Source organism: Homo sapiens, chromosome 19, assembly GCF_000001405.40.
Source record: "Homo sapiens chromosome 19, GRCh38.p14 Primary Assembly".
Classification (NCBI taxonomy): Eukaryota; Metazoa; Chordata; class Mammalia; order Primates; family Hominidae; genus Homo; species Homo sapiens.
Genome location: NC_000019.10, coordinates 37968357 through 37995410, shown reverse-complemented (window position 1 = coordinate 37995410; position 27054 = coordinate 37968357). Strand labels below are relative to the sequence as shown.

The 27054-nt window shown below is 49.4% G+C and overlaps 1 protein-coding gene across 7 annotated transcripts in view, besides 10 other annotated features; it reads right to left on the bottom strand.

The window, feature by feature from the left end:
- SIPA1L3 (signal induced proliferation associated 1 like 3) overlaps positions 1–27054 on the bottom strand; it is a 301162-nt gene that overhangs the window by 212959 nt on the left and 61149 nt on the right. The gene's annotated exons all lie outside the window — the stretch shown is intronic.
- Positions 4517–5022: an enhancer, noted in NCBI's record as "H3K27ac-H3K4me1 hESC enhancer chr19:38481029-38481534 (GRCh37/hg19 assembly coordinates)". NCBI's record gives its function as "activates a minimal SCP1, AML or CMV promoter by ChIP-STARR-seq in primed H9 embryonic stem cells {active_cell/tissue: H9 hESC(primed)}" and the evidence as "EXISTENCE:reporter gene assay evidence [ECO:0000049][PMID:30033119]".
- Positions 5023–5528: an enhancer, noted in NCBI's record as "OCT4-NANOG-H3K27ac-H3K4me1 hESC enhancer chr19:38480523-38481028 (GRCh37/hg19 assembly coordinates)". NCBI's record gives its function as "activates a minimal SCP1, AML or CMV promoter by ChIP-STARR-seq in primed H9 embryonic stem cells {active_cell/tissue: H9 hESC(primed)}" and the evidence as "EXISTENCE:reporter gene assay evidence [ECO:0000049][PMID:30033119]".
- Positions 5529–6036: an enhancer, noted in NCBI's record as "OCT4-NANOG-H3K27ac-H3K4me1 hESC enhancer chr19:38480015-38480522 (GRCh37/hg19 assembly coordinates)". NCBI's record gives its function as "activates a minimal SCP1, AML or CMV promoter by ChIP-STARR-seq in primed H9 embryonic stem cells {active_cell/tissue: H9 hESC(primed)}" and the evidence as "EXISTENCE:reporter gene assay evidence [ECO:0000049][PMID:30033119]".
- Positions 6037–6542: an enhancer, noted in NCBI's record as "NANOG-H3K27ac-H3K4me1 hESC enhancer chr19:38479509-38480014 (GRCh37/hg19 assembly coordinates)". NCBI's record gives its function as "activates a minimal SCP1, AML or CMV promoter by ChIP-STARR-seq in primed H9 embryonic stem cells {active_cell/tissue: H9 hESC(primed)}" and the evidence as "EXISTENCE:reporter gene assay evidence [ECO:0000049][PMID:30033119]".
- Positions 6543–7048: an enhancer, noted in NCBI's record as "NANOG-H3K27ac-H3K4me1 hESC enhancer chr19:38479003-38479508 (GRCh37/hg19 assembly coordinates)". NCBI's record gives its function as "activates a minimal SCP1, AML or CMV promoter by ChIP-STARR-seq in naive H9 embryonic stem cells {active_cell/tissue: H9 hESC(naive)}" and the evidence as "EXISTENCE:reporter gene assay evidence [ECO:0000049][PMID:30033119]".
- Positions 13051–13552: an enhancer, noted in NCBI's record as "H3K27ac hESC enhancer chr19:38472499-38473000 (GRCh37/hg19 assembly coordinates)". NCBI's record gives its function as "activates a minimal SCP1, AML or CMV promoter by ChIP-STARR-seq in primed H9 embryonic stem cells {active_cell/tissue: H9 hESC(primed)}" and the evidence as "EXISTENCE:reporter gene assay evidence [ECO:0000049][PMID:30033119]".
- Positions 15202–15581: an enhancer, noted in NCBI's record as "active region_14563". NCBI's record gives its function as "activates an Ori minimal core promoter by ATAC-STARR-seq in GM12878 lymphoblastoid cells {active_cell/tissue: GM12878}" and the evidence as "EXISTENCE:reporter gene assay evidence [ECO:0000049][PMID:35858748]".
- Positions 16946–17055: an enhancer, noted in NCBI's record as "active region_14562". NCBI's record gives its function as "activates an Ori minimal core promoter by ATAC-STARR-seq in GM12878 lymphoblastoid cells {active_cell/tissue: GM12878}" and the evidence as "EXISTENCE:reporter gene assay evidence [ECO:0000049][PMID:35858748]".
- Positions 17096–17205: an enhancer, noted in NCBI's record as "active region_14561". NCBI's record gives its function as "activates an Ori minimal core promoter by ATAC-STARR-seq in GM12878 lymphoblastoid cells {active_cell/tissue: GM12878}" and the evidence as "EXISTENCE:reporter gene assay evidence [ECO:0000049][PMID:35858748]".
- Positions 21317–21376: a silencer, noted in NCBI's record as "silent region_10562". NCBI's record gives its function as "represses an Ori minimal core promoter by ATAC-STARR-seq in GM12878 lymphoblastoid cells {active_cell/tissue: GM12878}" and the evidence as "EXISTENCE:reporter gene assay evidence [ECO:0000049][PMID:35858748]".

The window sequence follows — 27054 nt, the reverse complement described above, 5'->3', positions numbered from 1 at the left end:
TCAGATCCCTGCTCTGTCCCTCCACGCTGTATGAGATGCCAAGCAAGCCATTCTCTCACCTCTCTGATCCTTGATTTCTCTCATCTATAGCAAGGGTGGTAATAGCACCCACCCACAGCAGACACTTGGTTGTCTAGCGGATGCCACTGCCATCCCCTGTCTCTTGCTGTCTCTCACGGTACAGACATGTGCTGCCCCAGCCTCCCTTGCAGCTAGGGCCGGCCCCTGGCTCCTTTATGGCCAATGGAATGTAAAGAGAGGTCTGCTGGGAGGAGGGGTATTTATAAGAACATATTCTCTTTCAAACGGAAAGGCACGTGAAGAGGAAACCTTTCCCCTACTCCTCTCCTCCTAGCTCAGGATGCCGTGTCTGAGGATCTGATCCTCAGGCTGGGGCAGCCATCCCATGACCACACAATGACCAACCCCACCAGCACGAACGAAACGCCTGCACACAGAGGGTTGAACACAGAAACATAAGTGCCTGGAGTTCCAGGTGAGCACCTCTGCACCAGCCATGGAGCTTGTCTCCTCCAGGATGTTTGCAATGGGGCGTCTCTACTGCTCAGCCAGGAGTCACCAGACGTCTTGTTACCTGCAGCCCAGTGTGTCCCAACTGACAGATCGAAAGATCACATGGTAGAGGGAGGGTTCAATGCCATCAAGCATGGGAAGTGCTTGGCACTCACTCACATTGGTTAAAGATTATTACCACTATCACAGGTAGCTGCTCAAGGCCATTCCACAGCTCTCACATCCCACTGCAGGAAGAGAAGGCGCTAGCGATAAACACTTGGTATATTTCCTCATCCATCCCACCACCTCTGATGTGGGAAACTACAGCAGCCAGGGCGGCTGCTCCACTCTAGAGTGGCTGTGCTCAGACCTTCAGTGGTTTTCAAGAGCCAAGGAGGAGAGAGGCAAAGGGGGCCGAACAGCTCAGCAACCTCCTGAGGGAGCTTCAGCCTTTCCACCGCTGAAAAACAACTTCACAGCCCAGCCCTGACCCCTTTCTCCTAGCACCATGTCTCCCAGATCTCCACACACTGGCGCCACTTGTACCATATCCCAGAGCACCTGAGCTACGGCTTACTTCACACTTTAACTATACTCACTTTTATTTTTGGCTTAAGTACCAACTTTAGCCTCACCCAATGCAGAAATAGCCATGGGATACTAGGTTTGACATGCTGTTTAAATTCTTTTCCCGGCCAGGCATGATGGCTCACGCCTGTAATCCCAGCACTTTGGGAGGCCAAGGTGGTAGGGTCACTTGAGGCCAGAAGTTCAATACCAGTCTGGACAACAAAGCGAGACCCACATCTCTATAAAAAATAAAAATAAGAAACTTAGCCAGGTGTGGTGGTGCACACCTATAGTCCCAGCTTCTTGGAAGGCTGAAATAGGAGGATTGCTTGAGCCCAGGAATTCTTGGCTGCAGTGAGCTATGATTGTGCCACTGCTCTCCAGCCTAGGCGACAGAGCAAGACCCGTCTCTAAAAAAAAATAATAAAATAAAATGAAATTACTTTCCTGCTATGCATTGAAATAAAAGTACAGCTATTAAAATGCTTCAAGTGTTTATTCATACGGCACCTTGAACAATCTGGTGGAATCCTCTGACCTTGGGAAACCTGTCCCCGTGGCAAGACAACATCACACCTGGTCGACACGCTCCTGGCCCCTCCTTCACACACTTTTTCAGGTACGTTCTGGAAACACAAAGGCTCGAATGCTAGCTCTGAACAAGCCCTCCAGAGGAGGAGCTCTCCACAGATTCCCCCGTTAGGGATCTGTTCCCCTGAACGTATCTGCGATTTACACTTTCCACTTATGATGCTTTCTAGGATGGTTTAATAATAATAGCCTGGCCAACACAGTGAAACGCTGTCTCTACTAAAAATACAAAAAATTAGCTGGGCATGGTGGCGTGCACCTATAATTCCAGCTACTCGGGAGGCTGAGGCAAGAGAATCGCTTGAACCCAGGAGGCGGAGGTTGCAGTGAGCCGAGATCGCGCCACCGCACTCCAGCCTGGGCAATAAGAGTGAAACTCCATCTCAAAAATAATAATAATAATAATAGCAATAAAAACAGCCAACGCACAATGAGAACTTTCTCTGTGCCAAGAGCTGGTTCAAGGGCTTCATATAGATCATCTCGTGATCCCCACAGCCCCATGTGAAGTGGGTGTCATCCCCATCTCACAGATGAAGAAACTGAGGGGCAGGGGGCTAAGTCACTTATTCAAGGTCTCATAACTCAGACCTGACACAGCCAGGGTTTGAATCCAGCTGACTGACCATAGGGCCCACCCTCCATTGCCCTCACTATTCTGCTGTCCTCAGAACAACCAACGGTGACTGGGTACCACCTCTGTGCTTAGCACCGTGCCTGACACTGACCCAGCGAGTCTGAGGATCCTGCCGGGGTCACGCAGCTGGGAGCACCAGGGACCCAGGTCTGCTGACTTCCCGCACTCACACTCGCCCTGCACAACTGACCACAGAGCCAGCACGTAGGCGACCTGAATGGAGCCTCCCAAAGCCCTGGAGGACCTCCACTCCCAGATTCCTTGCTGTCCCCATTTAGCTCATGTTCTTCAGTCCAGAAAGGCCACTCTCCTCTGAAAGGAGGAAAACAGGCCCACAAAAACCACATGGAGCCTCATGTCACCACTTTTCAAGGCCAAAGGGGAGTAGCTGACCAACTTGGAGTTTTCTAGAACCATCCCATTCATAATTTTTTTTTTTTTTTTTTAAGACAGAGTGTCACTTTGTTGCCCAGGCTGGAGTACAGTGGCGCAATCTCAGCTCACTGTAACCTCCACCTCCCAGGTTCAAGTGATTCTCGTGCCTCAGCCTCCCATGTAGCTGGGATTACATGCATGTGCCACCATGTGCAGAAAATTTTTGTATTTTTAATAGAGACGGGGTCTCGCCGTGTTGGCCAGGCTGGTCTCGAACTCCTGACTTCGAGTGATCCACCTGCATCGGCCTCCCAAAGTGCTGGGATTACAGGCGTGAGCCACCATGCCTGGCCCTATTCATCATATTATCTGTGCAGTTCCTCCTTGCCTGACTGCTAGGCCTCAAGCTGACATTCTTAATTGTGCATTATGATCATGACAGCTCATGCCATGGGGCTTACTTACCTTGAGTGCCAGGGCCTGTGCTAAATACTCCCCAGGTACCTACTCACTCAGTGAACCCCGCAGCCTTAAGAGGTTGGGACTGCTCTGGCCCTTGCTGTAGAAGGAGGAAATGCAGCCCAATGGAGGCTAAAGCCACTTGCCTAAAGCCCTGGAGCTGGAAGTGGTGGTTCCCCAGGCCCTGCCTCTAGCCACGTGGATGCCTGTCTGTGGACTGAACACTCTGCATAAGATGACCTCAGTGAATTATCATCCTTTATCCCTCCCTCCAGCCCAAAGTCAACGAGGCAGGTATTTGAAAAATGAAGAGCCTGAGGAAGGAGGTGAAGTACCTGCCCCAGGTCATGCAGCTAGTGCAGGGTGGGGCCCGAACCCAGCTGCCTGCAGTGTGACTCCAAGCCATCAGCTGCAAGGCTCCACAGCCTCACACCCAACTCCAAATGCCCCAAACCCCACCCCGGTCCTAGCAAGCCCCCAAGAGAAATCTGTCTCCAGCTCCAAAGCATCAGGTGGAGGGTCATCTGTGCAACAGATCACCGTCACAGGGCTGTCTTGAGTGAAAGGAGCCTCCGGAACTCCAGGGCAGAGAGCTCAGCTGCTGCATTCCCGGGAACAGTGACTCTGCACGGTCCCTGCCAAGCTGTCTGCACAATGGGCCCACTGAACTCACATGCAGGTGGGGTACATAAGCCAGCCCAGGGCTTTCCAGGGTGACAGCAGCTGACCAGCCATATAGCTTTCTTCCTGCCTTCAGGTTTTCCTCCATGGCCTTTGCTCTGGGGATGTGGGGAGGTAGTTCTTCCCAGAGCACCAGGAATGGGAATGTCTGCTCCTTTCCATGCTGGCAGGGCCTTCCTCCCATCCCCAGAGAGATCAGCCGGTTTGGCCCTGTCCAGCCATCTGATACGTCCACAGAGCGCTTAAGAGCATGGAATTGGAAGCCAGATGGCCTGGGTTCAATCCCAGCTTTGAGACTATTTTTTTTAAAAGGCCAATAAGCACTTTCTTTCTTTCTTTCTTTCTTTTTTGAGACAGAGTCTTGCTCTGTTGCCCAGGCTGGAGTGCAGTGGCGCAATCTCGGCTCACAGCAACCTCTGCCTCCCAGGTTCAAGCGATTCTCATGCCTCAGCCTCCCAAGTAGCTGGGATTACAGACACGTGCCACTACGCCCTGCTGATTTTGTATTTTTAGTAGAGGCAGGTTTTCACCATCTTGGCCAGGCTGGTCTTGAACTCCTGGCCTCAAGCAATCTGCCCACCCCAGCCTCCCAAAGTGTTGGGATTACAAGCGTGAGCCACCGTGCCTGGCCCCTGCCACTTACTATTAACAGGCAGTGGACAAGTTACCTCCCCTCTCTTTGCCTCACTTTCCCCATCTGGAAAAAAAGGCTAACAACAGTACCAATGCCACTAAGTCATCATGGGGATTAAAAAGCACTCGGAATACGGCCTGGCACTGAGCGTGTCTGCTGTTGTTGGTACCAGTGGTCCAATTAAACACACACATGCCCCTTGAGTGGACAGAGATGTCTGCTGGGCCTCTGAGAGCGTGTAAGCACTTGCCAGCTACAAGTCAAGGAAAAACCAGACTCCAGCAAAGAACCCTACTGGGCTGCTGGCAGCAGAGGACACGTTAGCCCAGACTGGGGCGGGGTTCTCGCTGTGGGCTGACTAGCTGAGCAAGAGCTGTACTCATCGTCCACCTGCAGTTATGTGGCTATTGCTGTATCTATTCCTTGTCTCCATGCCCAGCCAGAAGAGAGCGCTCTGAAGTCAAAGCTGGTACTCCAGATCCCATCGGACCTGGCTTCCGCCAAAGTTCCACAGGTATTCACCCCACGACCCCGCCTGTCTCACTGGCTGCTTTCCTCCCATAGGCTCAAGGTAGTGCCCAACATGCAAGAGGCCCCAAAAAGATACATAGGAATGAATGGAGGTTTTTAGATCTTTTAACAAGAACACCCACCACCTTGCCAGGCCTAAAAGAGACCCAAAAAGATGCCTCTGTCCCTACCCCCAGGTAGCTGGTGATCTGGTCCACCCAGTTACAAAAATCAAGATGTGGGTATAAAATGACCTGGGAATTCTTCCAGGGTGGTTGAGCAACCAGAAGAGGCATGCGGCCGTAGGGCAGAAACAGGAGCTGACCCCACTCCAGAATTTCACAGAGGAAACGCCAGAGAAGGAGCCTCCCCTCCCCCACTCCACCAGGTGAAACCCTAAATATGCATGAGGGCCAAACAAAAGGTCAGGTGGGGGGGTCTACGTCAACAAGCACAGCAGGGAACCCCAAATCCTCTACTCTCCAATGGCCCGGCTCAGCCAGGCCCCAGCACCCCGACTGAGTGCACGGGAAGCCAAGGCTCATTCTGGCTGTGCCACCCAACAAGCAGTGCAATGATGTAGGGAGTTAAAGAATTCATCCTAGCCAGGCACGGTGGCTCACGTCTGCAATCCCAGCTACTTACTGGGGAGGCTGAGGCAGGAGAATCGCTTGAACCCAGGAGGCGGAGGTTGCAGTGAGCTGAGATCACGCCATTGCACTCCAGCCTGGGTGACAGAGCGAGACTCCATCTCAAAAAAAAAAAAAAAAAAGAATTCATCCTAAGCAGGGAGGCCTGATGTGTGTTCTGAGGATTTCCCTATTCAGAGGGAGACCTTGGGCAGTGACTTAATCAGAACCTCCATGTCTTCATTTGTAAAATGGAGCTCAAGATAGGTGCTGCATAGCTGGGTGCAGTGGTACACTGAGATTATGCCTGTAATCCCAGGGCTTTGGGAGTCCAAGACATGAGGACTGCTTGAGGCCAGGAGTTCAAGACCAGCCTGGGCAACACAGTGAGATCCCCGTCTCTACTAAATATTTTTTAAAAATTAGCCAGGAGTGATGGCGCACACCTGTAGTCTCAGCTACTCAGGAGGCTGAGGTGGGAGGATGGTTTGAGTTCAGCAAATGGATGTTGCAGTGAGCTATGACTGTGCTACTGCACTCCAGCCTGGGTGACAGAGCAATATCTTGTCTTTAAAAGCAAACAAACAAACAAAAAACAGGAGCTGCCCCACAGAGTTAGGAAGGTTCCGTGGGAGGATGCACAAGGCCAGGCACAAAGAAGCACTTAAGCAGCAGTTCACTCATTCCCTCCTCAATCACACAGCCAACACCTCCTACACGGCAGGCACCGTGCTGGGGAAACCACAGGAAAGCAGACAAGGCCCCAGCTCTAACAGGGCTTATATTGCATGAGAAGGGGAGAGGAATCTGTTTTTGTTTGGAGGTCAGGCTTGTAAAGAAGGCCTCGCTGGGAGGGTGACTTCTGAGCAGAGAAACCTAAGGGAAGCTTCGCAGGAGCAGCCAGAGGACTGTGTGGAGTGGGAGGGAGGACGGCCCGCGCAGAGATCCTGGAGAGCGAACGTGCCTGGTGCGTTCTAGGAGCAGGGAAAGGGTCAAAGAGCAATGGGGCAGGAAGCAGAGGACAAGGCAGAGAGGTGACAGGGCCAGATCAAGGGGGCCCAGTGGGCCACACAAAAGACACTGACTTTCCTCTTTTTAATTCTTATTTATGTATTACTTATTTATTTATTTTTGAGATGGAGTCCCGCTCTGTCGCCCAGGCTGGAGTGCAGTGGTGTGATCTCGGCTCACTACAACCTCTGTCTCCTGGGTTCAAGCGATTCTCCTGCCTCAGCCTCCCGAGTAGCTAGGATTACAGGTGCCCACCACCATGTCTGGCTCATTTCTGTATTTTTACTAGAGACAGGGTTTCACCATGTTGGCCAGGCTGGTCTCAAACTCCTGACCTCAGGTGATCCACCCGCCTCGGCCTCCCAAAGTGCTGGGATTACAGGCATGAGCCACTGCACCCTGCTTCTCTTTTTGATAATAATTTTTTAAAAATTATAAAATTTTTTGTAGAGACAGGGTCTATGTTGCCCAGGCTGGTCTCGAACTCCTGGGTTCCAGCAATCCTCCCACCTAAGCCTCCCAAAGTGTTGGGATTACAGGCGTGAGCCACTGCACCTGGCCTTGACTTTTCTCTTGAGTGAGATGCTGGTACTCCAGATCCCATGGGAGGTTCTGAGCAGGGGAGGGCCGTGACCTCAGGTGTTCACAGGCCCCACCTGGCTGAGTGCAGAGGACAGACCAGGAGAGGTAGGGCAGGAGCCAGCAGGATAATGAGAGACTGCTGCCTTAGGCCAGTGGGAGCCAAGGACAGACAGGACCAGCAGGGGGACTGTAGGAGGAGGGGAGAATAGAGAGAGAATTTGGGACAATTTCCAAAGGAGATAATACCACCAAGCCTAGAATCTTCTCTACTGTTATTAAAAGGGACTTTATGGTGACTTCATTCTGATTCCCACTCTCCCAACACAAATACCAAGCTCCGTTTATTATCCTTTCCCCACTTGCTAGTCCAGCCACACCCACCATTTACTGAGCAGTAAAGGCGCCGGGACAGTGGCTGTCAAAGTGCAGCAGACGGGAGATGCACCAAGAGCTTGTATCCCCACTGGGGCCTGCCCCAAACTAAAGTGGCCATGACTGCTACTGTGGGACCTGAGCATCGATGTGAGTGACCAGCTGGCCTAGGGGGTCCCAGGCATGGTGAAATTAGAGGGTGCGAGGCCGCTGGTAACCAACTAGGGACAACACTGCCCCACCTCTATTCCAGGGGACATTTGGAGACACTTTTGATGATCCCCGCTGGGGGGTGCTGTTACTGGCATCTAGTGGGTAGAGGCCAGGGATGCTGCTGAACAGCCCATAATATGCACAGGACAATTCTGACATCAAAGAGTGATCTAGCCCCAAAGGTCAACAGCGTCAGGGTTCACAAACCCTGGTCTAGGCTCCCAAATCCTAATGGGTAGTCAATCACCAAGGGGTCTGGGAAAAATGCAGCTAAGGATTCAAAGTGCGTGTCCCAGATTCTACACATCTGAAAAGCAGACTTCTAGGCCCTTGATTCTGACACCTAAGGTCCGGGAAACAGCATCATCTACATCACCTGGGAGCTCACTGAAAAAGCAGATGTGTCCGGGCGCGGTGGCTCACATCTATAATCCCAGTGCTTTGGGAGGCTGAGGCGGGTGGATCACCTGAGGTCGGGAGTTTGAGACCAGCCTGGCCAACATGGTGAAACCCCATCTCTACAAAAAATTCGAAAATTAGCCAGGCATGGTGGCACAAGTCTGTAATCCCAGCTACTCGGGAGGTTGAGGCACAAGAATTGCTTGAACCTGGGAGGCAAAGGTTGCAGTGAGCCGAGATCGCACCACTGCACTCCAGCCTGGGTGACACAGTGAGACTCTATCTCAAAAAGCAAAAAAAGAAAAAAGAAAACGCTCAGCTCCTCCTCAGACCAGATGAATGAGAACCTGCATTTTATCACGACCCCCAGGTGGTTCTCAGCTACATTCAGTGATTGTGAATGCCCCTGAATTCAGAGAGTGTCCCTGAAGGCACATCAGGCAGCTAAGAAAAAAAAGTCTCCACACCTAGGCCTCAGGCCCTTTACACAGGAAGAGGGGAAAGGGGAAGGCAGGCACGGGCACGTTGTAAACAGTGCCCACCTGATTCTAATAGGGTTCGTGCAGCCAGGGTTAAGAAAAGAAGAAGCTGCCCTGGAGGAAGCAGTCTTCTCTCCCTGGCAAGCAAGAGCAGTCCCTTTTGTGGAGGCACCACACAGGCCCCCAACGCTGGCGACAAACATCCTGACAATTCTCAGCTTCCTGGCATCAAATAACCTGCTTTTCCCCAGCAAAGGGGCTGCTTTTGGCACCTGAAGCCTGGCTGACTGCCAGACGCCAAGCTCCTGGGCAAGAACCGGGCTGGTGTGGAGAAACAGAAGTCGAATGCAAGTGTCTTAACTGTTGACAAGAAACTAGAGGAAAGAGAAAGCCATCTCACCTCGAGTTAAAATTGGAAGGTGATAACACTTATGTAGCACATCCTGTGTGCACTTTTCTAAGCACAGGAATTACTGTCCCATTCTACAGATGGGAAAGCTAAGGTGAGGCACATGGAAGGCATTTGCCCAAGGTGTAAGTGGGGAAGCCGGAGTTTAAGCCCTGAATCTGGGCTCCTAACTGTGGCTCTATCCAGGAAGCCCTGTTGCTTTAATACCTTCCCCACCTTTGACACAAAGAAAAGAGATGGTTAATTCCCCCACAGCCCCAAGCAGCATGCCCAGTCTGGCTTGGCTGCTTTCTGGAGCTTCTCTAGGGCAGACAGCTTTGAGCTGATCTATCTGGGGAAGGAGAAAGTGGGCTTCAGGCACAAAGCGCCACCGCTTTGCTCGCATGACGGCGCAGCTGGGTCACCTTTGGAACAAAAAGGACAACCACATTCTTGGCTGGGAAGTCAGGGAGTCCACCCAAGGGGCGAAGGGTCTCTTCCCTGTGGCCCCGCATCCCTGGGTAAGGGCCCTGGGAAGGCTGGGAGGAGCCAGGGAGGGGCCCGGCCTCTGGGCCCACCACCTCTCTTCCTAGACGCCAAAGTCAGCTCCCCACAGCCATCCTCTCCAAACACCCCTAGGATGGAAGCAAATGGAGGCTTTGGGGAACAAACTACAAATCCCTCCCAACACATTCTCACCCTTGTTCACCCACCTGTGTGCATGACTGGCTCCTTTTCATCTTTCAAGTCTCAGATTAAATGTCACCTCCTCGGACAGACCCCTTCCTCATCCCTCTAAGACACCCCTCCCACCACTACCACTCACTTCACTTTATCCTGGTTTAGTTTCTTTCCTTCCTTTCCTTTCTTTTCTTTCTCTCTCTCTATTGTCTAGGCTGGTTTTGAACTCCTGGCTTCAAGTGATCCTCCTGTCTCAGCCTCCCCGGTAGCTGGAACTAGAGGCATGTGCCATCACACTTGACTAAAACAATTTTCTTCGTAAAATTGGCTGGGCATGGTGGCACATGACTCTAGTCTCAATCAGGAGGCTGAGGTGGGAGGATTGCTTGAGCTAGAGAGGTTGAGGCTGCAGTGAGCCAAGATTGCACCACTGCACTCCAGCCTGGGCAACCAGAGAGAGACCCACACTCAAAAAAAAAAAAAAAGAAAAAAACAATTTTTTTAAGAGATAGAATCTTGCTCTGTCGCCCAGGCTGGTCTCAAACTGGCCTCAACTGATCCTCCTGCCTTGGCCTCCCAAAATGCTACAATAATTGAACGTCTTAATAGCACTACCAATCACTTCTGATAAATACTGTTTATTTCTAGTCTGTCTCCTCCACCAGACCTTGTACTCCAGGACAGCAAGGACTAGGTCTGTCTTCTCTGCTGCATACCTGGGCCTTGAAACAGTGTTTAGCACAGACAAGAGGCCCCAGAAATATTTGTTGAAGGAATCCACAAATCTTGACTTCCAGTCACGTTCATGAAATGACTATTCTCTTCTTCAGGGATCACCACAAGGACATGCTCTAGTTTGCTACAGAGTTGCCTGCATGAGAGGCATCTGTGGAGTACCAGCCATATTCCACAGCAGCCTACAGAACAATCACTACTGTTGTCATTAACGTTTATGACACCAACAGTAACGCAGCTAACATTTAATGCACACTTGCTATGTGTCAGGACCTATGCAAAAAGATCTTTACTAGTTCCAAGCTCATTAGTAAGCTGGTCACATAGTAACTAGTTCTTTTCCTCACTTTGCAGAAATGAATACCGAGGCTTAGAGATGGTTTGTTACTTGCCCTAGCCTAGTCTGCTAGTTTCCAAGGTTTTCTCTCTTTCCTTAATGTTTCGCAGCCTCACAATAATCTATCTGGGGGATTTCTTTTTATCCAGTCTCTGCTTGGCACTCGTTGTGAGCTTTCAGCATTGAGATGCAAGTCTTCAATTATGGCACATTTTTAGCATTAGTTCTAATATTGCCTCCCCACCACTCCTTCTAGCTTTATTTCTGGAAATCCTACTAGATGTATGCTTCTTCTCACTCCACCCGTTTTGTTACTTCTATGTATTTTATCTCTATTCTATACTCAGAGTGAATTTCATTTACTAATTTTCTCTTTGACTGTGCTTGGTGTTACTTGCCCAAGGTCACACATTAGTAAGGATGGAATCCAGCCCTTAACCGCCTCGCTGCCCCGCCCTGCGCAGGGCTCACACAGCGCTCCCTGAGACTGGAAGGACAGCGCATCTGCAAAAAGTGCCTCATTGTTCTCAGGAGATTCAGCCGGGCTGGGTCTTTCTCCCAACTTCTCCCACAAAGAACACATAGTTTCGTGCAACTCCAAAAATCTCCACTCGAATCATGCCTGTATGAAGCAAGCTTACTGATCAGGGTTACAGTTACAATTCCTCATCAGTGCTGAGCAATCTTTTTTTTTTTTTTTTTTTTTGAGATGGGGTCTCGCTCAGTCACCCAGGCTGGAGGGCAGTGGTATGATCTTGGCTCACTGCAACCTCTGCTTCCCAGGCTCAAGTTATCCTCCCACCTCAGCCTCCTGAGTAGCTGAGACCTCAGATGCATGCCACCACGCCCAGCTAATTTTTGTGTTTTTTGTACAGACGGGGTTTCACCATGTTGCCCAGGATGGTCTCGAACTCCTAAGCTCAGGCAATCCACCCACTTCAGCCTCCCAAGAGTGCTGGGATTACAGGTGTGAGCCACCATGCCAGGTCTGAGCAATCTTTTTTGGATGAAACCACTGTTTCTTAGGTTCACAAGGTGAACAACATCTCCCCTGGAACTGAGCTGGTCTCTCCGCATACCTGAGGCTAAGACTCGGTTACTCTTCATGGTCAACGCTACTGCACGGTGCCTAGGAGCAGCTGCTAACTCTTAAGCCAGTGCCTGTGCCAGATGCTTTAACATTTCAACTCACGTAACCTTCACAACTGCTCCGTGGGGCAGGTCCTACTATTATCCCACTTAACAGATGAGAAAACTGAGGTCCTGAGAGGTGCAGTCCCTTGTCCGAGGTCACCCAGCAAGTAAGCGACAGAACTGGATTTCAACTCCCAGCACGTGGCTCCAGGGTCGGCTTTCAACCACCACCCTCCACTGCCTCTCTAGCCCAGATGTGGCATTTGCCCAGAAGATACTGCAAGTTAAGTTCTGTTTAGATGTTAGTTCCATCACATGAGTCATTTATTTATTCATTTGTTCAGACGTGTTTTTAAAACCTACTGCACAGCCAGGATTGGGCCAAGGGAAGTAGATGCAAGGCCCCTGCCCTCCCAACATTTTGCATAGATCAACTAACAAATGAAAAGGCAATTTCAACATGGCCTGGCTGGGATGTCGGGGTAGAGGGGCAAGGGCACCATGGTATGCCTGCCAGAGAACCCTCGACCCCAGGAAGACAACCCAGGGAGGCCACAGGAACCTGTAAGGTGGGTCCTGAATAGCCAGGAGGAGCTAAGGGTGGACAAAGATGCCCCTGCTTGACCCCGTCCCTCTTTCTGGCTGCCACAGGTCACACCGGGAAAGCCCAGGTTGTCCAGCCCCAGCCTCTCTCCCTCCACAGCCACATTCATAAGCACCATTAACTGGGAGAGCCATAAGCCACTATACAGCCCTTGGAGGCCAGGGTCTTCCAAAAGAGTCCATTATGGAGAAAGCTCTGAAGACGTGCATGTGGCCTGCAAAAGCTGGAGCCATTTACATGGCGGGCTTTGATCCAGACGGTAGAGGCTGCCCCTAACTAGCTTTGTGACCTTGGGGAAGTGACATAGCAGCCCTGGGCTTGTCTCCATGTCTGTAATGGACCTAACACTGTCCCACCTCATAGGGCTACTGCGAGGATTACATGAGTTCACTCAAGTAACCGCAACACCAAGCACATGGTGAACGCTGGAAGAACATTACCTATGATTATCTCCAGTACCTTGGCCAGCACTAGGCACACAGTAGGTGCTCCCTGGCCCCAGGGGACGCAGCCATCTGCAAAGATCAAGGACCCAGCCAGAGGGAGGAGATGACCAGGAAGGCCTCTGGGAGCCAATGGAGTGTCCACCAGGCAATCAGACAAGCAGATAAAAGAGACCTGCCCTGAAGAAACTGGTTCTGCCGCCTTTCTCTGGCTGCTCACAGCCCAGTTCCCAGAGCCTGCCTCTCGACTTTGATCTGGGACATTAAATTGTTTCTCTGATCAGACAGATACAATTCGAGAACCTTTACAACTGTGTCCCTCACAGTCTTCCTTCCAGCACTTTATGTTGGGAGTCCGGCTGTTTTGCCACATATCACGGGTGACTTCTTGCAAACTGACCACAACGTGGACATGCGTAAGATGCTGGAGCCAGCCTCTCTGATGGCAAGATAGATTAACGTGCTCACAAATACGTACTGCACACAGCTGTGGTGGTGATATTTATATTCTGTGTGGGAGGCGATTAGGAAAATTCTCCATCTCTCACCCTTCCCTGCAGTTATGGGTGGTCATGTAACTTTCTATGGCCAATGACTCATAAAGGGACTAAAGAGACAATCCTCTCTTCCAGGGCCTCCTTTCCTAAATACTCACGGAGCAACTCTACCCTAACCCTTTGACAGGAAAGGATTTGCGGGAAGGTGTCCTGCAGAAAAGGTGAGGTGGTACAGCTAACGAAGGGCACTGCTGCTGAAATGATGGCGACGCTGCTACCACTGGCACTGCGTCATCTGACAATACTGTACAGCAGAGGCTGTGAAATAATAGGAATAATAATAATTGCCGGCATCTATGGGACCAAGAGGCAAGTATTATCACTTTCATTTGCAAGTGACAAAAATCAAGTACAGAGAGGTTAAGTAACCTGCTCAACACGGACAAGAAGTGGCAGAGCAGGTATTAGAACTCAGGTGATCAAACCAAAACTCTTTTTTTTTTTTTTTTTTGAGACAGGGTCTCCCTCTGTCGCCAGACTGGAGTACAGTGGCACAAGCATAGGTCACTGCAGCCTTGACCTCCTGGGTTCAAGTGATCCTCCCACTTCAGCCTCCTGAGTAGCTGAGACTACAGTCACGTGCCACCACCTGGCTCATTTTTTGTAGAGGTGGGAGTCTTGCTGTATTCTCCAGGCTGGTCTTGAACTCCTGGTCTCAAGCAATCCTTCCGCTTCAGCCTCCCAAAATGCTGGGATTACAGGCATAAGGCACTTCACAGAATCCCCAAACCTTTAATCATGAGCTATACTAACAAAGTATGAGCCCAAACCAGCCCTATAAAAAGAACCAAAGCCATCTCTATCACATCTTGAGCACTCACTATGTGGCCAACTTGGAACTGAGCACGGTGTATGCATTACCCTCCAAACAAAGCCTGTATTTGGCACTACGACTGTGTCTACTGAAAAGATGAGAACTGATGGGATGTGTCCCGTGTCTCATGACTAGAAAGAACTGAGGAGGCAGGAGGAACAGGCCTGAAACCTCCCAGACACCAGGTCACACTTCTTGAGCGCAGCTCACAGGAGAAATTCTTCCATCATTAACCAGCCCCAATAACCCTCTCTCGAGGACATTCTTGGCCTCTCCTTGGTCATATGGAATGACGGCCAAGTGTACTTGGCCACAGAGAAATCAGGGCATGGAAGGAAACAGAGCAGAACCCCACACCCGGGTGAGCTCAGAATTAAAGGCACGGTTCCTCCATTGACCATCAGGCCTTGCTGAACCTTCATGCCTCGACGGGCCCCCTCCTCCCTGGCCTCAGCCTCCCAGGCCTTCCCCCTGCTCTGGAGGGAGCCACGCTCCCCGGAACCTGGAAGCATGCTGTTCACACTGTTCCCTCTGCCTAGAATGCTCTTCCTCATGCTTCCCCCACCCTAAGATACACCTTTCTTTTTTGCCTTATTAACTCCTACCCACCCTTCAGTTTCCACCAGAACACTAAAATAAGAGGATCTCCAGGGCATACTGTTCAGTAAACATTTGCAAAGTGCAGAGCAGAGTACTGAGTAGGCTACCTTTTGTCGAAGGAAGGAGAAGACAAAAATATATATTCATATTTGCTTGTATTGATATAATGATACCTTAGACGGATACCCAAGGGAAAATACAAATCATTACGTAAGGGGAGAAGGAACAAGGTGGGCAGGGAGAGGAGTGGAGGACAGAGACTGCTCACACATCCACATAGAATTGATTTTGAAGCATATAAATGCATGACCTATTTTTTATTTAAGTGCCACAAATAAAAACAAAGTGGGAGTGATGGGGAGAGGGTCAAGGAAGGCCTGTGAGAGCAGGCCTGAATACATCCCTCCACAGGACTGCCCGATACTGTCTGACTCTCCCCACCCACCGGCCTGTGGATTCCTGAGGGCAGGCCTAGACCTGCCCTGGCTCCCAGCCAGCGGCCTGCCACGCAGCCAGGGCCCAAGAAATGCTCAGAGTGAGTGTGCACGCGGAGGCACCAACAGACCCACCGCCAGCCGAACCTGGGCATGCCCACGGCTTGCAGCTGGGCTCTGCTTTTGGGGAGCACAGTTAGCACGCAAGAAAAGTGCTGAGAGCCAACTGTCTCTAACACGCATTACTAAAGGAAAGTGTGTAGTGCAGGGATCAGCAAACTTCTTCTGTAAAGGGCCAAAGAGCAAATATTGTAGGTTTGGGGGGTGGGTCACACTTGTCTCTGTTGCAACCACTCAATTCTGCCATTACAGTGTAAGAACAGCCACAGACAATACACAACCAAATGGGCGGGCCGTGTTCCAATAAATATTTATAGACAGTGAAACCTAAATTTTTTTTTTTTTTTTTGAGACAGAGTCTCGCTCTGTTGCCCAGGCTGGAGTGCAGTGGCACGATCTCGGCTCACTGCAACCTCCGCCTCCCGGGCTCAAGCAATTCTCCTGCCTCAGCCTCCTGAGTAGCTGGGATTACAGGTGTGTGCCATCACGCCCAGCTAATTTTTGTATTTTTTTTTTTTTAGTAGAGATAGGGTTTCACCATGTTGGCCAGGCTGGTCTCAAACTCCTGACCTCAGGAAATCCACCTGCCTCGGCCTCCCAAAGTGCTGGGATTACAGGCGTGAGCCACTGTGCCTGGCGAAACCTAAATTTCATATAGGTTTACGTGGCATGAAATAGTGTTAACTTTTTTTTAACCTTTTAAAAACGTAAAACCCATTTTTAGCTCCCTGGCCATACAAAAACAGGCAGTGAGTTGGATCTCGCCCGCAGGCTACAGGTGGCCACCCTTAATGTTGAGCCCAGCTGCCATGTTTATAGATTTGCTTGTACTCATGACTTCTGAAAGGAGATGTGAGAAACAGGTCACAGTGGCTGCTTCTGTGAAGGGTTTGGGTGTGGAAGGGAAACTGCCTTTTTTTCTGGTTTTGTTTTTGAGACGGGGTCTCTGTCACCCAGGCTGGAGTGCAGTGGTGCGATCACAGCTCACTGCAGCCTCAACCTCCTGGACTCAAGCAGATCCTCCCACCTCAGCCTCCCGAGTGACTGGGACTGTAGCCCTGAGCCACCGTACCCAGCTAATTTTTAAATTTTTTGTAGAGACAGGGTCTCACTATGTTGTCCAGGCTAGTCTGGAACTCCTGGACTCCAGTGATCCTCCCGCCTCAGCCTCCCAAAGTGTTGGGATTATAGGTGTGAGCCACCGTGCCTGGCCTTTTTATTTTTAAATATTGTACTATATGCAAATTAATAAAAATAATATTGTTTTAAACTTAGTACTAGAGAGAGAAAACAGGCTGTGCATGGTATAGAAGGACAAACCCAAGCTTTGGAGCAAGAGACCATGGCCAGAATCCCACCTCAATTTCTCACTTGCTGTGCACACAACAGGCAAGTTATTTTCCCTCTCTGAGCCTCAGCACAATGGGGATCATATACTGGCTTCATGGGCCATTGTGAGGAGTCCATGGGTTAATCCCTTTGCACAGCTCAGGCACCTGGAAAGTGGTGGCTATTATTATCTTTGTTATTAAGAGTCATTCATGGGGAAAAGTCCCTCTCCAAAGGAAGGCCCTAAACATAACTGTGGCTCTGAAACTCCCCTAGAGAGCCCGCCCAGTCCCACGGCCCATCGCCCAACTGTCCACATAATAGATGCCTTGTGACGTGAGGAAGCTCATTTGTATTAGCGACTGCATTCCACAGAGATGCATCCTGGAGCCACGTCTGCACATCCTGTTCAACAGAGAAGGCAGCCAGCTCCCCAACTCTGGGTCTGCCCTCAACTGTCACACCGGACAGGCTGCAGGACCATGCACCTATTAGATAATTTAGTCCCCATTTATTAAACACCTACTGTGTGCATGGACACCCCTCTGAACCTCATCCTGGAGACTAAAGGTACAAACATGGATTTCTTTAAAATAACTAGTGGGATGCTTTTGTTGTGTGTTCCATAAAACTCTTGCACTTCCCTGTGTGTTTATTCATTGAGGAAACATTTACGAAGGACCTCCTAAAGGCCAGGCACTGTTCTAGGCATTTAGTTTTAACCAGGACCCTCAATTTCTGGACTACAGGACCTGTGAGGAGGAGACCGTGCAAATCACTGTCCCTTCTGTGTCTTCTGTGCTCAGCAGAGGCCATGGCACAAAGCAGGGAAGTAACCAACATTTGTTGAGTCCAGTTACTGAGCATGGAGGACACGGGCGCTCTGGACCTGCCTGGAGCCTGGAGTCTCTGCCCCAACTTCTGGTGACAGCAGCCCACTTTTCCTGGGGACAACTGTTTCTCCCTCGTTCCTCCTACTTCTGTGGGGGGGGGCGTGGAGGGGACTGCCAATCATGGGACCTGCCCACCCACCTGATCCAAACTGGGCCAATGGCTTCCTCTTGCTCAGGGATTTCAATTTCAAGCTGCCAATAAAAATAATAATGAGGCCGGGTGAAGTGGCCCATGCCTGTAATCCCAGCACTTTGGGAGGCCAAGGCAGGACCTCAGGATCACCTGAGGTCAGGAGTTCAAGACCAGCCTGGCTAACATGGCAAAACCCTGTCTCTGCTAAAACCACAAAAATTAGCCGGGCATGGTGGTGCGTGCCTGTAGTCCCAGCTACTTGGGAGGCTGAGGCAGAAGAATCGCCTGAACCCAGGAGGTGGAGGTTGCAGTGTGCCAAGACCACACCACTGCACTCCAGCCTGGGCGACAGAGCAAGCCTCCATCTCATAAAAAAAATTTTTTTTAATAAAATAAAAATAATAATGGTAGGCTAGGTGGGTGAGGTGGCTCATGCCTGTACTCCCAGCATTTTGGAAGGCTCAGGTGGGTGGACTGCTTGAGCCCAGGAGTTCAAGACCAGCCTGGGTAACATGGCAAGACCCTGTCTCTATAAAAACATACAAAAAATTAGCCGGGGATGGTGGCACATGCCTATAGTCCCAGCTACTCAGGCGGCTGAGATGGGAGGATCACCTGAACCCAAGAGGTTGAGGCTGCAGTGAGCTGTGTTTGTGCCACTGAACTCTAGCCTAGGTGACAGAGTGAGACCCCATCTCAAAAAAATAATACTAATAGTAATAACCACAGCACTTAATAAAAATAATAGCAGCTAGTATATATCTAGCCACATACTCTACACTACACACTGTTCTAAACACGTCTCAAATATCAACTTACTGAATCCTCAAAGCAACCCTCCGGTTCTCATTCCCATCTTATAGCCGACAAACTGATGCACAGAAAGCTTGAGATGCTTATGAATAAGGAGTGAGGTTGGGATTCTCACCCAGGAGGCGGGCTGCAGTGTCTAAGCTCTTCAATGCAGGGCCCTAAAAAAGTGCCCAAGAATATCCACTGAGAGACACCCCAGAGCTGCTCGACCCTTTTAGGGCCTCAGGGTGCCTGAGTTGATTTCTGTTGCTTGCAACCCAAGAACCTGGATTGATAAAGCAGATCACTTACTGGGTTTCACACTTTCTGCCAGACTGGCCGGCACTGCTTCCCAGTGCTGCAGTGCGGGGGCATCTTACAAATATTTTACAAGTTGGAGTCAGTGATCAGGGCATTCAGGGGCAGCCTGCATCTCCAAGAGCAGCCATCTTTCCACCCCAGGGAGAGAAACCCAATAAGAGACGTACAACAAGACGAAGACCCAAGGAAATCCCCTCCAGGACAACCCTCCCCTGGGGCGCCGTGGGCATGTTTGGTGGAACACTCCTGTGCATAGGTCAGTCAGCATCCCTGGCCCCCACCACTCATTGTGAGACCAACTCCCCATTTCTTTTCTTTCTTTTTTTTTTTTTTAAGACAGAGCCTTGCTCTGTCACCCAGGCAGGAGTGCACTGGTGCAATCTCAGCTCACTGCAATTTCCACCTCCTGGGTTCGAGTGATTCTCGTGCCTCAGCCTCCCAAGTAGCTGAGATTACTGGCGCCCGCCACCACGCATGACTAATTTTTCTATTTTTAGTAGAGATGGGGTTTCACCATGTTGGCCAGGCTGGTCTTGAACTCCTGACCTCAAGTGATCTACCCGCCTCGGCCACCCAAAGTGCTGGGATTACAGGCGTGAGCCACTGCGCCCGGCCAACCCCCCATTTCTGAATGCCTCCTGGGGGTGGTAGCCAGAGGCTGCACCCCTGACTCCCACAACCAAGTCTGTGTCTGGCAGTCCCTGTCAAGCAGTCCTCTAACTTGGATTCTGGCCTGGGTGGGGTGATTTTTTATTAGCCATCTTTAGACCTACAACATACAAATTTTAATTTTAATGACTAATTAAACCTATAGAGCCCTTGCCACAGGCCAGGAGCTGTTCTAAAGTTTTACATATAGTAACTCATTTAATCCACCAGTGACATCCACCAATGAAATGGGCACCATGACCAATATCACTCCCATCTTACAGATGGGGACCCTGAGCCTGGACACACTGTGACGTGCTGGTGGGTGGGGAGCCTCGACTTGCAGCCGTCTCCTCAGAGTTCAGTGGGAGTGAGGACTGGGGTGATGTGTCTAGGGCTTTCCAGTTCCCCCTGGAAGTGCTCTGTTCCCTCTCTGCCACCATTCAGCTCTAGGCTCGGCCTACACGGTGCCTCCTCGGGAAGCCCTCCTTGCCATCCTCCTTCCTGGTCCCCGGGTCAGGCCCTGGGTTCCGCACATTAATATGCTCTCCTCGCTCTCTCTCTGTTTCCTGTTTGGTATGTATCACAGCTGCAGTTGGGACTCTGAAGTTATCTGTTGAATGCCCAAGTCTCTTGCGTCCCCTCCAGGCTGTCAGTTCCACGACGGCCGGGATTTGCTTAACGATGTTCCTGTGTCCAGCAGCCCAGATCTGGAGTCTGGTAGGCACCGTAGAGATTTGCTGAGTAACAAATTAACTACTTTTTTTTGCATTTTTTGTAGAGGTGGGGTTTCACCATGTTAGCCAGGATGGTCTTGATCTCCTGACCTCGTGATCTGCCCGCCTCAGCCTCCCAAAGTGCTGGGATTAAAGGCGTGAGCCACCACACCTGGCCACAAATTAACTACCCTTTATAAATTCATGTTTAAAACTAGGATAAGGGAGAAGGGCTGGCCTAGAATAATGGGGAATGGAGAGATTCCACAAGAGCCACCTGTGTGTCTGATGGTGCTGTTGGGGAAGGGGATGTACCACTGGGTGTTAGAACAGAGGGAGGGGAGGCTGGGATGGCACAATCACGTCAACTCAAAAGTCATCATCAGTAACAAAGATTCACGAAATGAAAGCATGAAGGAAAACACAAACTCCTCTGTCCAGGCTGTCAAGCCTTCTGCTCCTGCATCTCACCCTCTGCCCTCATGACAGTACCGGCTAGAACCAGACTCTCTGTTCAAACCCCACCTCTGCCATGAATCAATACTTTTTTTTTTTTTTTTGAGACACGGTCTCACTCTTGTTCAGGCTGGAGTGTAGTGGCACAATCATGACTTGCTGTTGCAGCCTCAACCTCCCAGGCTCAAGTGATCCTCCCACCTCAGCCTCCTGAGTAGCTGGGACTATAGGCACGTACCACTGTACCTGGCTAATTTTTTTGTAGAGATGGGATCTCACCATGTTGCCTAGGCTGACCTTGAACTCCTGGCTCAAGCAATCCTCCTGCCTCGGCCTCCCAAAGTGTTGGGATTACAGGTGCAAGCCATCATGCCCAGCCACAAATAAGTAACTATATGATCTTGAGGAGGTCGATGAGTCCCTACACATCAGGAAAGTGGGGTATGGCAGGACCCATCTCATAAGGTTGATGAAAACAAATACTGCCAGGCACCCAGGAAGTGCTCAATAAAGTCCAGCTGTTACCAATGTTAGATCAGCATCATGACCCTTCAGCCTTTACAACCAGGACAATGGGGAAGTCACTTTGCCTCTGGGCTGCCCATGTCCTGTTAATTTGCTGCCGGAGGCCTGAGCTGCCCACTCTCTGTTGCTGATCTTCCTGGGACTCCAGGCCAACACATCAATCCCTCTTCTGCCTTGGGTGATCGAGGGTGGAGTCTGACACATAGAATCAAGAGTTCCAATATAGCATCACCATCCAGTCATCTGAGAAGCCAAACCACACATCTTACTGCACAGTAAAAAGGCACAGAGAGGTTGTATCAAATGTTTACCTCTCATAACTTCAACTAGGATCCCCTTACCCCTCACTAAAGGACAAATAATTTAAGCAGAACAGATACCCAGCATTCCACTTCCTAAGCATTTGCTCTGGTGTGAGTGTGGGATGGGGGACAGGCATACGCTACTCCCTCAGGCAGCCTCAGTTCTTCGTCATGCGAGCAGCACTCTCAGAGTGCTGAGAGGCGTTTTAGTGCTTCAAGATGCGCCCCCCTCCCGCTTTTTTTTTTTTTTTTTTTTGGCCAGGCACAGTGGCTCACACCTGTAATCCCAGCACTTTGGGAGACCGAGGTGGGTGGATCACCTGAGGTCGGGAGTTCGAGACCAGCCTGGCCAATATGGTGAAACCCCGTCTCTACTAATATAAAAAATCAGCTGGGCATGGTGGCAGATGCCTGTAACCCAAGCTACTTGGGAGACTGAGGCAGGAGAATCACCTGAACCCAGGAAGCGGAGGTTGCAGTGAGCCAAGATTGCGCCACTGCACTCCAGCCTGGGTGACAGAGCAATACTCTATCTCAAAAAAAAAAAAAAAAAAAGATGCGCTTTTTTTTCATACACCATGGTCCCCAAAGCCAAACTAACTCCTCTGGCAGGTGCTTATGAGAAGAACACGTGTTCTGACCTGGGTGAGAAAGTGGCTGCACAGTGTGTACTGCAGTACAGTATTGACTTCTTGTCCCCCAATACCTATCCTCCCCCCTTTCCTTTAATAACGGAACCCCTATATTTTAGCCAGGCACCTGATTGACTTGAATGAGGACTACATTTCCCAGCCTCCCTTGCAGCTAGCTGTCGCCATGTAACTAATCAGGATCACAGGGAAGGAGTGAAGGAAATGTGTGCAACTTCTGGGTCATGCTCTTTGAAGCAGGATAGAATTCAGGAGCTCCACTAATTTGGGGGGAAGGGGGCAGAATTACCTCTTTATTTTCACTAATCTCTAACAGAAATTCAGCATTTTCTTCAATTAGGAATATAGGCAAACTATAGTTTTCATGCTTACAAATTTGTCACCAACAGAAACCACAGGTATATTATCACATTGCAGTTTTGTTGGTTTATTTTGTTGAGGCAGGGTCTCCCCATGTTGCTCAGGCTGGAATGCAGTGGCACAATCACAGCTCACTGCAGCCTCAAAATCCTGGGCTCAAGGGATCCTCTCACCTCAGTCTCCCAAGTAGCTGGGACTACAGGTGCACACCACCATGCCCGGCTAAGTTTTTAAATTTTTTGTAGAGATGGGGCTTCAGTATGCTGCCCAAGCTGGTCTCAAATTCCTGGCCTCAAGTGATCCTCCCACCTTAGCCTCTCAAAGCACAGGGATTACAGGCATGAGCCACCACACCCAGCCCACAGTTCTTACAAACGTCTCAAAATAGCACTTATGCCCTTTGTTACTTTGGAATTATGGTAGTTAGATCTGCCAATGGATTTTGCCACACTATATCACAAATTTATCTTCGTATTTCAAAAACTACATTTTAAGACAATTAGTTTCCTTTGTCATCCTACATTTTATAAACTTAAAAACACAACTGAGAGAAAAAGATGTCAAAGGGCCCATGACACACACACACACACACACACACACACACACACACACTAGGTATCTCTGCCTTATTCCTAAAAAAGCTAAACATAGTTACCACATGACTTAGTAACTCCACTCTTAAGTATGTAGATATCCAAGAGAACTGAAAAATATCTTTACACAAAAACTTATATATGAATGTTTATAGCATTATTCATAATAGCTAAAACGTGGAAACAACCCAAAGGTCCATCAGGTGATGCCTGGATAAGCAAAATGTGGTCTATCTGTACAACAGAATATTATCCAACCCAAAAAGGAATGAAGTACTGATTCATGCACAACATGGGTGAACCTTAAAAACATGACACTCAGGCCGGGCGTGATGGCTCACACCTGTAATCCCAGCACTTTGGGAGGCTGAGGCGGGCGGATTGCCTGAGCTCAGGAGTTCGAGACCAACCTGGGCAACACAATGAAACCCCGTCTCTAATAAAATACAAAAGGAATTAGCTGGGCATGGTGTCACACGCCTGTAATCCCAGGTACTCAGGAGGCTAAGGCAGGAGAACTGCTTGAACCTGGGAAGCGAAGTAGCAGTGAGCCGAGATCGCGCCACTGTACTCCAGCCTGGGCAACAGAGCAAGACTCTGTCTCTGCAAAAAAAAAACCCCAAAAAACAAAAAACATGACACTCAGTGAAAGAAGCCAGACAGAAATGGATACTGCATTATTCCAATTACATGAAATGTCCAGAACAGGCAAATACATAGAGACAGAAAGATTAGTGGTGCCAGGGGCTGAAGGGATGGGAAAATCACAGGGCAGAATCAGGGAAGCGGGAATGGGTTCAGGGTTTCTTTTTGAGGTGGTGATCATGTTCTGCAAATAGATTGTTATGATGATTAAAGAGCCTGGAAAATACACTGAAAACCATCAAATGTTTTAAAAGGGCAAATATGCCAGGTGCAGTGGCTCACACCTGCACTCCCAGCACTTAGGGAGGCAGAGACAGGAGGATCACTTGAACCCAGGAGTTTGAGACCTGCCTGGGCAACAGAGTGAGACCCCATTCTCCAAAAAACAAACAAACAAACAAACAAACAAAAAAAAGCATGGGAGGTGGGGGAGGAATAAATTTTTAAAAAAGGGCAAATTTTAACACACATAAATTATATCTCAAAAAAAAACACAACTGCCTGAAAAAGAGGAGGTATAACCTCTCCTCTTACATCCTCCCCACCACAGGCCAGGCTGCACACATGGCAATAATGGAGAATCATTCTGGACCATGCAGATGAAAGCAACACCCCAGGAACAGGGAGCAACAAGACGGCAGGGGCCTGGGCTGCTCACTCTCAAACTGTTTCACAGGAGGGAAATAAACTGCCCTCGCATTTAAGCCACTACTATCCTGGGTCTGTTACAGCAGCCAAACCTCTACCTCACTAATACCCGACATCTTTAGAACGTGAAGGTAGTTGTGACTCTCTAGCATGTTTGCTTTACCCAATGACTGCTGAAGCTAACTCTTCTGAGATGCACCACCCATCCACGGCACAGCCTCCATGCCCTCCACATCCTGCAGGAGAGGAGGGTTCAACCGCCTTTGCAGTCATGCCAGTTCAGGGACCTCTTCCCTCTGCACAGAAGCTGAACGGATGGCTTTAGTGCGAAGAAAGAACTGTGGCTTTAGTGAGAAGAGAGCGGCCTGGAAAACAGCTTCCGGCTGCAGGAACCTTGACAAACTGCAGAGATTCAGAACGGTATCTGCAGCATGGGAGAGCTCCTTAGAGGTAGTCCAATAACCAAGTATTAAAATGCCTGTCCTGGCCTCTTCAGATAGGAGATGACTAAGAGGCTAATTAAAAATGTGTGTTAATCGTAGTACTCCACTTAACGTGGTGAAATTTTTATTGTTGGGAGATATACCATCTCCACTGGCCCCAAGACTCCAAAAGGAAAGTCACTTTGGGCATCACTAATACCAGCCAGCCTGAAAAAATATGGCTGCAGTATGAATTCATTTAACTTACGAGTAACATTTTCACTTTGAAATTTCACCGCCAGGGTTTTAAAAACTTCCGGCCAGACTTTGTTCCCTGCTCTAGTCCAATGACAAACTAACCAAAATTTTAAATGAGTAACAATTCTATTTCAACCACATTCATTTAATAAAGGTTTTTTGTTTTGTTTTGCACACCTAGTATGTACTGGGGATGCAATGCAAAGCAAAAATAAATAAATAAATAACAGGTCTGGGCTTGACCTCCTGGGACTCACAGCCAGCCCAGTGAGGAAGACGGGCATTAAACATGTAAAGACAAACATAACGTGTAATTAAATATTATGATAACTGCTATGAAGCTTTGCCAAGCAGGAATAACAAGCGGCCTAGTTTACATTCAGGACAGTCCAGAAGGGCCTCTTTGAGGACTTGACATTTAGGCTAAGATCTGAGGGATAAGAACGAGAAGGCTAGAAGACAAGCAGTCAGGAAAAGCATTTCAGGCATAGGGAAGGGCACACACAAAGGCCGGAGGAAAGTGTGGCATATTTGAGAAATGAATATGAAAGACTGGCTGGTGTGCAGTAAGCAAGGCCAGCACGGCTGCATCACGGGGGACCTTATAAGCCATGATAAGGATTTTTGTTTTTGTTTTTTATTTATTTGTGTTATTTTTTTTTTTAGACACAGTATAACTCTGTCACCCAGGCTGGAGTGCAGTGGCACAATCTCAGCTCACTGCAACCTCCACCTCCCGGGTTGAAGCAATTCTCATGCCTCAGCCTCCCAAGTAGCTGGGATTACAGGCACCCGCCACCATGCCCAGCTAATTTCTGTATTTTTAGTAGAAACAGGGTTTCACCAAGTTGGTCAGGCTGGTCTCAAATCCCTGACCTCAGGTGATCCGCCCGCCTTGGCCTCCCAAAGTGCTGGGATTACAGACGTGAGCCACCACACCTGGCCTATAAGGTTTTTTTCTTTTCTTTTTTTCTTTTTAACAGAGATGGGGTCTCTCTTTATTGCCCAGGCTGGAGTGCAGTGGCATGATCATGGCTCACCGCAGCCTTGAACAGCTAGCTCAAGTGATCCTCTCACCACAGCCTCCCTAGTAGCTGAAACTACAGGCATATGCCACCATTCCTGGTCAGGATTTTTGAAAGTTATTTTAAGCACTGGAGCATATTAGAGAGTAACTGATTTGTTTCCCCCTAGCAGCCATTGTCTCTGTTCCTAAAAAGAACACTATTTTCATTTGCAATCCAGATGATCCCCACTTTCAGGACATGATGTGTCAATGGGGTTCCACACCTGACCCAGGTCTAACTAAGCCAATCGACCACCTTCCCCTCCCTGGTCATAGCAATGGTTAACAGCTGGACACATGACCCAAGCCAACTCACAGTGAGCTTCAGAATTTCTGCAGAAAGTTCCACAAGAAAAAAAGAACTCACTCTCTCTTTTTCCACCAGACCTGATGTCAGGCCAGAGTTGCTGCAATCATAACTATCAGAGGACAACCAATTTGAGACTGGAACCAACTTGGGAGATCAAGGAGAAAAACCCAGCATTAGTAATAACATTATTTGAGCTCTGGCTCAAGCTGCACCTAAAGCAGGTTATCCCTGGACTTCCATCATGTTATCTCCATTTCCTTCGGACAGTTTGGGTTTGGTTTTCTTTTACCTGAGACTCAAAGACCCTGAATGCTAGAAATGGGAAACCACTGAAGGCTTTATACATGGGGTATATCACATGATTTCATTTCTGGCTTTGGAATGAAAACCAGAAATGGAATAGAGGAGGCAAGAATAGAAGCAGTGAGCTAATTAGGACTGCAATTGTCCCATTAAGAGATGAGGCCGGCCGGGCGCGGTGG